The sequence below is a fragment of the Homo sapiens genome, chromosome X, assembly GCF_000001405.40.
Source record: "Homo sapiens chromosome X, GRCh38.p14 Primary Assembly".
NCBI classification, from domain to species: domain Eukaryota; kingdom Metazoa; phylum Chordata; class Mammalia; order Primates; family Hominidae; genus Homo; species Homo sapiens.
The window spans coordinates 3034115-3046416 of record NC_000023.11 but is presented as its reverse complement, the minus strand read 5'-3'; the positions used below and the strand labels follow the sequence as shown (position 1 = coordinate 3046416).

The 12302-nt window shown below is 40.2% G+C and overlaps 1 protein-coding gene across 2 annotated transcripts in view; it reads right to left on the bottom strand.

Moving 5' to 3' along the window:
* The window catches only part of ARSF (arylsulfatase F), a 72494-nt gene extending 66311 nt beyond the window's left edge, over positions 1-6183 (bottom strand). The window contains exon 1 of one of the 2 annotated variants that reach the window (NM_001201538.2): positions 6076-6183. The gene's annotated coding sequence lies outside the window, so the exon portion shown is untranslated. Of the gene's footprint in view, positions 1-4753; positions 4947-6075 lie in introns of those variants that run through there. The other variant, NM_001201539.2, reaches the window with a different exon arrangement.

Sequence of the window (12302 nt, the reverse complement as noted above, 5' to 3'; positions counted from 1 at the left end):
CCTTGGCAGAATTTCCCTTTTTAAAAAGGAGCCCCCAAATCATTTCTTTTTAACAAAGAGCAGCCTGGAAAATAGAGCTGCAGGCATAGATAATAAGCAAGCTGGAAGCTTGAATGGGTAAATGCTGGCAGCTGTGCCAATGGGAAAGGGCTACCTGGAAGCCAGGTATGTTCAACATGGAGGCTCCGTCTTCCCTTTTCTTTGTCACCACGTGTACAGTAAAAAACCAGAGGCCAGGCGCAGTGGCTCACGCCTGTAATCTCAGCACTCTGGGAGGCCGAGGCGGGCGGATCATCTGAGGTTAGGAGTTCGAGACCAGCCTGGCCAACATGGTGAAACCCCGTCTCTACTTAAAAAAATACAAAAATTAGCCAGGCGTGGTGGCACATGCCTGTAATCCCAGCTACTCAGGAGGCTGAGGCAGGAGAATTGCTTGAACTCGGGAGGCAGAGGTTGCATTAGGCCAAGATCACGCCACTGCACCCCAGCCTGGGCAAAATGAGTGAAACTCCGTCTCAAAAAACAAAACAAAACAAAACAAACAAAAAAAACAGGCGACATGGCACTAGCCAGGTAAAGAGTCCATCTGCATAATAAAAGATTAGGCACCGAGGTGGGCAGATCACCTGAGGTCAGGAGTTTGAGACCAGCCTGACCAACATGGAGAAACCCCATCTGTACTAAAAGTACGAAATCAGCCAGGTGTGGTGGCAGGCACCTGTAATCCCAGCTACTCAGGAGGCTGAGGCAGGAGAATCACTTGAACCCGGGAGGTGGAGGTTGCAGTGAGCCGAGATGGCGCCATTGCACTCCAGCCTGGGCAACAAGAGCAAAATTCTATCTCAAAAAAAAAAAAAAAAAAGATTAGCCCAGCTTTTCATGCCCTATGCAAATGACACATCTAGTCCTAACCAGCTTTACATGCCCTATGAAAATGGTACACCTGGTCCAACCAATCTTTTGCGTCCTATGTAAATCATACACTGCCTCCTCAAGCTCATCTATAAAACTTGCTGCATTTCAGCAAAGAAGCAGCAACCCACTTCTCCAGGACCCCGCTCTGCTGCAGAGAGCTCTTCTCTTTCTTTTGCCTACTAAACTTCTGCTCTCAACCTCATTCTGTGTGTCCACGTCCTCGATTTCTGTGGCCATGAGACAATGAATCTCGGGTATTTACCCCAGAAAATGATGCCACTTCATTACCATGTGTGACCACGTGGCCACCCAAAAGTCAAAGGTTTCTCATTCCCCACCTCTTTATTTTTCTCTTTCTCCAATGAGTTTTATCTACATAATTTTCCATTTATTTTAAAGTGACCTTTAAATAGCCTCTAAACATTACATTTTCTTTGGCAAAAACCACATCTTTGTGTTTTTATAAACCTCACCAAAAATACATCTTACTCTCCTACTATTCCAACTCCCAGTAACCCTAATTTCCAGTGCAAAACCTAGGATTGCCTAATTTAATCTAACATTGATACAGGATGGCTGGGCTCCCGGCTAAACTACAACCTCAAGTCTGGAAGCTCGGCCCTAGTGAAAGCAGCTGACCTCGTTTCTCTGCCCAGATGATTGCCTTTTTGGCCTGCCCTGCCCCCTATCCTGTGCCCATAAGGACCAGACCAGCTGGCAGGAAGAAAAACGAAAAAGAAAAAGAAAAAAGCAACACAAGCAGCTGACCGGCAGGGATACAAGCTACTGAGTGGCGAGCAGAGAAGTAACTGAGCATTGGAGACTACAGATAAACATGACTAACTTCAGACGGTGTGGTTTTGGAGGGGAGCCCAGCCAGAGAAGGCTAGGCTTCAGAGAAACATCACCTTCTTCACACACCATCCCCTTTCCAGCTCCTCTTCCACCAAGAGCCACTTCCACTGCTCAATAAAGTCCTCCACATTCATCATCTTTCAGTTTGTGTGACCTGATGATTCTTGGACACCAAACAAGAAGTCGGTGTCCAAAAGGACAGATGCAGAAGGCTGTCACCTTGACCCTTCACTGAGCTGTTAACACATAGCTGTCCACAAACTGCAGGCTGAGTAACATGAGCCACTCCAGTTCCTGCCCACGAAGGGGGTCAAGGTCAGGGGAACAGTCCCATCTAACGTGACTCTAAGATTTTAAACCACTGGACAGGATTTTGAAATTAAATTTACCAAATTAGTCTTACCAAAGATTACTAAAGGAATGTCAATTAAAAGCATCTGAGCTAGCTTTTGGTTGTCTGATAAGCACTTACTTTTCTTTAAGCCATTTGATTAGAGCTCTTTCATATAATTTGGTACTGAAATATTACTTCCTCATGACAGATAGAAACTTACAGACAAGGCCAGGCATGGTGCCACACGCCTGTAATCCTAGCACTTTAGGAGGCCAAGACGGGTGGATCGCTTGAGCTCAGGACTGAGACCAGCCTGGCCAACATGGCAAAACCCCATCTCTACATAAAAAATACAAAAAATTAGCTGGGCGAGATAGTATGCACCTGTGGTTCCAGCTACATGGATGGCTGAGGTGAGGCAGGAGGATCCCTTGAGCCCAGTGCTCAAGGGAACAGTGAACCAAGATCACACCACTGCGCTCCAGCCTGGGTGACAGAGTGAGACCCTGTCTCCAAAATAAACAAATCAATCAAACAAACAGACAATAAATAAACTTATAGACAGACACACAGATAGAGGCACATCCTATAACATTTTTCACTTGCCTGTTTTCAAAAATTCTCTCTCTTCCTTTAGACTATTAATTTTTAAAAAATTACGGGAGCCAGCAAAAGTTGAAGGAGAGAGTTACCATCCCAGGCCTTTTCAAAAGAGGGAAAGCTCTGAGGCAAGCAGGATGCAGCAGAAGTGGAACCCCTAGGATGTCCATCTGAAGAATTTCAAGAAGAGATTATGGAATTCAAAAATAAAAAACTTCTTGCAATTTCACTGAGTACATCAGTATTTTAAGAAAATCTTGTTCTAACCAATGATCTCCTTTTGCATTACTGTATTTTTATTATTGAAGTCCAATACCTAGAATGATTATAATTTCCTTTTAGTTATAGCAAACTTAATTACATAAAAATTTTTTTGAATTCCTTTTTTACAGACTGTATTATGACTTGCACAGACCATATACAACCTGCTTGGATTTTCTGTTCTGTCCTAAACATCTCTCTTAAACAACAAGATTCTTTCTCATACAAAATTATTTTTCTTTTAACATTTCTTACCAAAAATACCTCCTTGTAACTTTCTTCTTCTTTTTTTTTGAGATGGAGTAGTCTCGCTCTGTCACCCAGCCTGGAGTGCAGTGGCACGATCTTGGCTCACTGCAACCTCTGCCTCCCGGGTGCAAGCAATTCTCCTACCTCAGCCTCCTGAGTAGCTGGGATTACAGGCACATGCCACCATGCCTGACTAATTTTTATATTTTTAGTAGAGGTGGGGTTTCACTGTGTTGGTCAGGCTGGTCTCAAACTCCTGACCTCATGATCCGCCTGCCTCAGCCTCCCAAAGTGCTGGGATTACAGGTGTGACCCAATGCACGCAGCCTAACTTTCTTTACATCTCTTGTTTCTTGGTTCCTTTTACCATATTTCATAAATAACCCTTAAATAAACCTAGAATCTGGCCGGGTGCGGTGGCTTGCACCTGTTATCCCAGCACTTTGGGAGGCTTAGGTGGGTGGATCACCTGAGGTTAGGAGTTCGAGACCAGCCTGGCCAACATGGCAAGACCCCTATCTCTACTAAAATTACAAAAATTAGCCAGGCATGGTGGTGGGCACCTGTAATCCCAGCTACAAGGGAGGCTGAGGCAGGAGAATCGCTTGAACCTGGGAGGCAGAGGTTGCAGTGAGCTGAGACTGCACCATTGCACTCCAGCCTGGGAGACAGAGCGAGGCTCCATCTCAAAAAATATAAATAAATAAACATGGAATTAGATGAAAATAACTTAGCTTTGAATAAGAACATATTTTTTAGAAAAGTTTTTCTATAATACAATTTATTTAAATTGAAAATGGCCCAGACATTTAGTGAATATCTATTATTTAACTTTAGATTCTAAATTATATTTATTTACAGGCATTTGTTTCATTACATTTACCTAATTAATTTTATAAAATCTTTTACCTAGATTATCTGTGAAAACTCTGATAGTCATCATTTAAAGTTATTTCCCTGTTAACCATTTTTATAGTCTATGAATTTTCTGTGTTTGCCTAAGCAAAAATTTTAAATATATATATATTTTACTGATAACTTGGGATTTAGCTCTTTTTACTACACTAATAACATTAAACGTCTTATTTCTCAAAAAGTACAGAAACAAAGATTATTGTGTTTCATGCTGGGTTGCTGGGTTTATAGTTTTGTAAGCCTTATGCCAAATTTTGACACCTTATAATATCTGTCAGAGGTAAATATGAAACTGCTTGATCAGTAAATGCAAACAAACATGTATGCTGACAATTTTTAAGATATTTCTAATACTATCGTACCAATAATTTTAAAGCCAGCTTATTTATTAAAGATTTATGTAAGTCACGTGAACTTGAAAAGCGTTTTGGCTTATTATTTAATTTATGAGTACTCTTTGACTTGAAGCCAATTTGACACTTCAGGGCTAAAGCACGTAAAAAATGTATATGTGCACACATATGTGCATGTACATAAACACATCTAAATACGCATGCACACTCACACAAAGATCCTATAGCTTTTACTTCAGAACTCTAGCAAGAGATATCAACACAAACTCACCAGTTTATACAAACAAAAAGGTTGGATCCCAACAGTGACTTCTATCTCAACAGCAGTGGAAAAGTAACAGAAGGGCCAGGAGTGGTGGTTCACGCCTGTAATCCCAGCACTTTGGGAGGCCGAGGCCGGCGGATCACTTGAGGTCGGGAGTTCGAGACCAGCCTGGTCAACATGGTGAGAGCCTGTCTCCACTAAAAATACAAAAATTACGTAGACGTGGTGGCGCACGTCTGTAATCCCAGCTACTGGGGAGGCTGAGGCAGGAGAATCGCTTGAACCTGGAAGGCAGAGGCTGCAGTAGATAGCGCCATTGCACTCCAGCCTGGGTGACAGAGCAAGACTCTGTCTCAAAAAAAAAAAAAAAGAAAAAGAAAAGAAAAGAAAAGAACAAAAAGTAAACAGAAGATTTAAAGTAGGCAGAAAAGAAAATAGCAAAATAGAGGACTTAGGAACTGATTGGTTGCAGGTTGACCTTTGGGCTGGAATTTTCTCTGGTGTAATGTGTGCAGCAGTTTAAAGTGTGAACAAGCACAGACATAATATGTAACAGGAAGCTTCTTGTTTGACCTGGCATGCCCTCAAGCTTTTCCCGCTTACACAAATACTTGCAAGTAGAGGAACCAGAGAACCAAAAGGGGTGCCCAAATGGGGGTCGCTCTCTCCGCCTTTCCTCATCCTTACATGCTATGTCTCCCACTTTTATTTTAAAATGAGGAACTAAACTGTGGCCTGGGTTTTAGTAGGGTGGATTGAAGTGTGCTGGCTGTGAGAGGGACTACACTGTGTGTCACCACTGAGTCTTTCTACCCTTTCACGTGTCTGAGTTTCTCTCTCCAGAGGTCTAGACCTCTGACAGGGCTCAACATAGCAAGTGATCAGCTCTTACACCTGTCTCCTGGATGAGCCTCTTAAAATTAATTTTGTTGTGTGGTTCCCTGTAGGGTCACTGCACATCATGGCAGGAGTCAATCCCCCAGAGACTCCCACTCAACCCCTACCACCCAGGGGTGGTTTTTGGCTAGGAGGAGCAAAACTCCCTTTCTTTTCCAAGCTGAGGAGGTCAGCCTCTCGTTTGGCAATTCAAAATTATGCCACAAAAGTGGCAGTTCAGTCTCTCACGCAAATGTACTCACAGGCCAATCGACATTAATTTGGGGGGAAAAGGGCAGTGGAGAAGACCATTTAGAATGCACCACCAAACCTAAAGTAGGATCCTATACAACAACTTCCTAGGAGAAAAATAAAAAGGAGGTAGAAAAACAGCTCAGAATGAACCAAGGACCATCAACCAAATGGAAGGTCCAGAGCTGCAGAGGACTCACCGGTTCCACTGGAGGAGAAACCTAAAGCCAGGGAGGGCTTCCAATGGCCCTGCGGGTAACTTAGCTCCGGGTTCGGGCAACTGCGTCAAGGATTCTGAGTCTTTTCTGAGGCCCCACGTGTAGGGCACCAATTAATGTCCATGAAAAGAGTCAAACTCTGTAAAATATTTGAAAAGAGTTATTCATTTAACCAATGGCTCACGACACAGCCCCAAGGAGGTCCTGAGAACAAGTGCCCAAGGTGGTTGGGTGACAGCTTGGCTTTATACAATTTACGGGGACAGGAGACATCAATCGACACATGTGAGATGTACATTGGCTTAGTCCAGAAAGGTGGGATTCCATTCAAAGTGAGGAACTTCCAGGTCGTAGGTGGATTCCAGGATTTTCTGATTAAAGACCTGTAATTAGTAGAAAGGAAATGTCTGGGTGAGGATAAGGCGTTGAGGAGACCAAAGTTTTTATTATGCACATGTAGCCCGCAGGTAGCAGGCTTCAGAGAAATCAGGTAGTAAATGTTTCTTATTAGACTTAAAATGGTGCCAGACTCTTGCTTAACCTTTCCTGGATCAGAAAAAATAATAATTTCACAGTGGAGAATTCCAACAGACACCACTTAATCCAGGTGATGAAATTTAACATCACCAGGACAGGACATACAGACATCATGCACTCCGTAACATGACACACTGAAAACTTACATCAATTCTGATGATTTTTTTGCCAAAAATGCATAACCTCAGTCTAATCATGAGAAAACACTGGACAAAACCAAACTGAAGGCTGGGCACAGTGGCTCAAGCCTGTAATTCCAGCACTTTGGGAGGCTGAGGCGGGCGGATCACCTGACATCAGGAGTTCGAGACCAGCCTGGCCAACAAGGTGAAACCCCGTCTCTACTAAAAATACAAAAACTAGCCGGGCGTGGTGGCAGGTGCCTCTACTCCCAGCAATTGTGGAGGCTGAGGCATGAGAATTGCTTGAACCTGGGAGGCAGAGGTTGCAGTGAGCCAAGATCGCACCACTGCACTCCGGCCTGAGGGATAAAGGAAGACTCTGTCTCAAAAAAAAAAAAAAAAACTGAAGAACAATCTATAAAATAATTGACCATTACTTAGATTGGATAGTGGAACAGAATCATATCAAATGCATCCATTTATTTTCAACATTTTGTTTGTTTTTAATTAAGCTGCCTCCTACACTACCGTATGTCCGGATTTTATGTTTATTTTCCCATTCAGAAAGCCTATCTTTTTTAAAGGAATTTTAATCCATCCATGTTTATTATGATCATGGTTATATTTGGATTGAGTCCTGCAGTTTCACTTTATATTATTTTCCCTTTTTTACACATATCAGATTTTCTGCTTCTTCGGTGTAATTCTTTCCCACCCACCTCTGATTGCATGAATCAGGTTTTCTTCAATCCACGCATTTCCCATTAAGGCTCTGAAACTTGTACACATCTTTTCTAGTTTTCTGGTGGTAACCACCTTTCACCTGTCAGCACACGTATTTAAGCTTATATTTTCTATCAAATATAAAGATAGTCATTACCTATGTCTTCTTCCCAGACGAAACAAAAACATGAACATATGCTCATTCTCTCTTTCTTCTCTGCTCTTTCAATTACCTCCCATGTGAAATGTTAATTCCAGATTATTTTCACAACTGTGCACTAACACATTCAGACTTTGTTTTATACATTTATTTATTCAGCACTGCTTCCTGTGTACTCTCTTCTTTTTATTATTATTATTAGTAGTAGTAGTAGTAGTATTTTGAGACAGGGTCTTGCTCTGTCACCCAGGCTGGAGTGCAGTAGTGTAGTCATAGCTCACTGCAGCTTCAATGTCCTGGGCTCAAGTGATCCTCCCACCTCAGCCTTCTGAGTAGCTGGGACTACAGGCATGTGCCACTCAGCAATTTTAAACAAATTTTTAGTAAACACTCAGCAATTTTAAACGAATTTTTAGTAAAGATGAGATTGCACTATGTTGTCCAGGCTGGTCTTGAACTCCTGGACCCAAGCGATCCTCCCACCTCAGCCTCCCAAAATGCTGTGGTTACAGGCATGAGCCACTGTGCTTGTCTACTCTCGCCTTTCTTGTATTACATTCCATTTTGCTGGAGTCAATCAACTAACTTTTTCCTCAAAGGTCTTTGAGGGATAACATTTTTGAGCATTTGCAAATTTGAAACCCTCTGTAAAGATCAAAAATGGCACATTCATTTTCTTCAGTCTCTCCATACCTCAGGTGATATGGTTTGACTGTGTCCCCATCCAAAGCTCATCTTCAACTGTAGCTCCCATAATTGCCACGTGTTGCAGGAGGAACCCAGTGAAAGATAATTGAATCATGGGGGTGGTTTCCACTGTTCTCATGGTAGTGAGTAAGCCTCATGAGATCTGATGGTTTTATAAGAGGTTTCACTTGGCTCTTTTTTCTCTCTTGCCTGCCACCATGTGAGATGTGCCTTTTGCCTCCTGCCATGATTGTGAGGCCTCCCCAGTGATGTGGAACTGTGAGTCCATTAAACCTCTTTCCTTTATAAATTACCCAGTCTTGGGTATGTCTTTATCAGCAGCACGAGACTAATACCTGAGGAATATGTTCTTCCTGGCAAACATGCAGGGCAGCAAACACAAAGACACTCTGGGGCTATTTCTTAAATCTCCCTCCTACTACCTTAACAATTCTCCAAAATAATGCTGTGAGTTTTGGAAAATATAATAATGAAGGAAGGGTTTGCTCCCATCACCTCGTTGCCAGCTCTCTGGCAAAACCACAGAAAATCTCTTCTCAGACACCTTCCAGAACTCACGTCTTTAAGGTTCATGGTAGGAGGCTTCCCATGTGGGAGCGTCCCTGATGAAGACTCTGTCTGTCCTTCACTCTCTCTCAATTCCCCCAGTCCTCTGAATATGTGCCTTTTCATGTCCCAGCATGGGATGATAGACAGATCAGGGCAGATGGTTTGAGTAAGACTCCTACTTCAGCTACCTCATGTTTCTTATACATTCATTTAACACCTCTTATTTTGTCAGCATTTTATTTTTATTTTTAATTGATAAATTTTATATATATTATATATAATATTTTATATATAACATTATATATAATATTTTATATATAACATTATATATAATATTTTATATATAATATTATATATAATATATTATATATATTATATATATTTTATATATAATATTATATATATTATATATATTTTATATATAATATTATATATATTATATATATTTTATATATAATATTATATATAATATTTTATATATATAATATATATATTATATATAATATTATATATAATATTTTATATATATAATATATATATATAATATATAATATTATATATAATATTTTATATATATAATATATATATATTATATATATTATATATAATATTATATATAATATATATAATATATATATATTATATATATTTTATATAATATTTTATATATAATATTATATATAATATTTTATATATATTATATATAATATTTTATATATAATATATATATAATATTTTATATAAAATATATAATATTATATATAATATATATTATATAATATTATATATATAATATTTTATATATAATATTATATATATTATATATATAATATTTTATATATAATATTATATATATTATATATAATATTTTATATAAAATATTATATATATTATATATATAGTACCATGGAATGCTTTGATATATGTTCACAATGTGGAATGATTACATCAGGCAAGTCAATAAATCTTTCCCCTCCCAGGAGCAATAAGCTTAGAGATCTATTGCACAGAATGGTGACCATAATAAGTAATAATGCATGGTATATTTTAATGACCACTTCTTCCTAATCTAAGTTCTGGGTTAAGAAAATTCAACCTCAGTCTTTCTTGTAATAAAATAAAATTACTGTCATCTTAAAGTGCTCGTTCCAGCCTCTTGTGTTTTCGCATATTTATCTATGTAATCTTTGCAGCAACTCTATGAAGCATTTGCTATTGTAGTCATTTTAAAGTTGAGACATTGCACTACAGAGAAGTTAAGTGACACTGATTTTTCCCTAGCCAATAATTAGAAAGAACTTGAAAAGCAGACATTCAGTTTTAGACTCTGCATGTTTCAGCACCATTTTTTATTTCTCTAAAAATGCTGAATTGTGGAGGACAGATTGGCTACTTTGACTGTCTGAAATGGACATGTCTGGTTGGTACCTATCTACCATCATATCCCCTGGATTAACATAAAGCAAACCGAGTCTTTTCCTCATGGCCATTTCCTTCTAATGGCTCAAGAAAACATCAATGACAAGTCTCTAGCAAGAACACCTGTGGCATGCTTGAACGCATTGACCGAGTAGTTGAGAAATGTTTTTCTAACGCCCTCTAGTGGCCCATTAGTGAAGTGGGGGCATAATTAATTGGTTCATTTAGGTCAAAGGTTCATTTACATTGCAGTGTGGCTGCAATGCAAAGAGGGATAAGAAATAGCAGAATGGGGGCGGGTGCGGTGGCTCACGACTGTAATCCCAGCACTTTGGGAGGCCGAGGCGGCTGGATCGCCTGAGGTCAGGAGTTCGAGACCAGCCTGGCCAACATAGAGAAACCCTGTCTCTACTTAAAAATACAAAAAATTAGCTGGGTGTGGTGGCGGGCGCCTGTAATCCCAGCTACTGGGGAGGCTGAGGAAGGAGAATCGCTTGAACCCAGGAGGCGGAGGTTGCAGTGAGCCGAGATCGCACCACTGCAGAATTGAATAAAGAGAAAATCATGGATTTGGGGTGATGTAGGACCTGCTAGCTGCCCCCCCCTCCACACACACACACACAAATTTGAGAACAGCATTAAAGACAAGTAATACAAGGGAGCTCTGAGTGAAATAAGTAATCTTCAAACTTCAAAAATTGCAAAAGATGTTGTTATTGCATTTGTTTGTTCGGTCTTTTTTTGGGGTTTTGTTTTGTTTTTGAGAAAAGATCTCCCACTGCACTCCAGCCTGGGCGACAGAGGGAAATTCCATCTCAAAAAAATAAAAATAAAAAATTAATTATGGTAAAATAACACATAACAAAATTTACCATTTTAAATCATGTTTAAGTGCACAGGCTGGTGATATTAAGAACATTCATTGTTGCTGGCACGGTGGCTCACGCCTATAATCCCAGCACTTTGGGAGGCTGATGCAGGTGGATGGCTTGAGGTCAGGAGTTCGAGACCAGCCTCGTCAACATGGTTAAATCCTGTCTCTACTAAAAATACAAAAATTAGCTGGTTGTAGTGGTGTGTGCCTGTAATCCCAGCTACTCAGGAGGCTGAGGCAGGAGAATCACTTGAACCCAGGAGGCAGAGGTTTCCGTGAGCTGAGATCGCCTCCACTGCACTCCAGCCTGGCTGACAGAGTGAGACTCTATCTCAAAATATAAAGTATAATAAAATAAAGAACATTCATTGTTGGCCACATGTGGTGGCTCACACCTGTAATCCCAGCACTTTGGGAGGCCAAGGCAGAAGGATTGCTTGAGCCCAGGAATGGTAAGAAGAAGAAGCAGAAGCAGACAGAGGACCAAACTGAGGACTAGCTAAAACATGGAAGCAGCATTCCATAAGACATGCCTAACAGCATGCCATGTCAGTTTACCATTGCCATGGCAACATCTGGGCATTACTGGCCTCTTCTATGGCAATGACCTGAGCACTCAGAAGTTACCACCCTTTTCCTAGAAATTTCTGCATAAACTGCCCATTAATCTGCATGCAATTAAAAGTGGGTATAAATATGACTGCAGCAGTGCCCTGAGCTCCTGTTCTCTGCAGGAGCGGTCACAGAACTGTGACACTACCTTCTCCATAAAGCTGTTGCTTCCACCACTGGCTTACTCTTGAATTATTTCCTGAGGGAAGCCAAGAACCCTCCCAGGCTAAGCCCCAATTTGGGGCTCACCTGCCCTGCATCCATCTGTAGATCTTTTCTTTGTCTTTTGTAGTCTGCAGTCACAAATGCTTCAAATTTTGGATTTATGTTTGTTTATCCTGCTTTGAATTACTTCCTATGTGTATTGCCAAATGCCTTTCTTCAATTAAATAATTGTTTTAGCCATGTTTCTTTATTTTTTCTTAAATGTTGACTCTTCTTTGCCATTTTTCTTATTTTGTGTTTAAGGAATCATGATTAACTGCAATTGATGATGCTTACAACA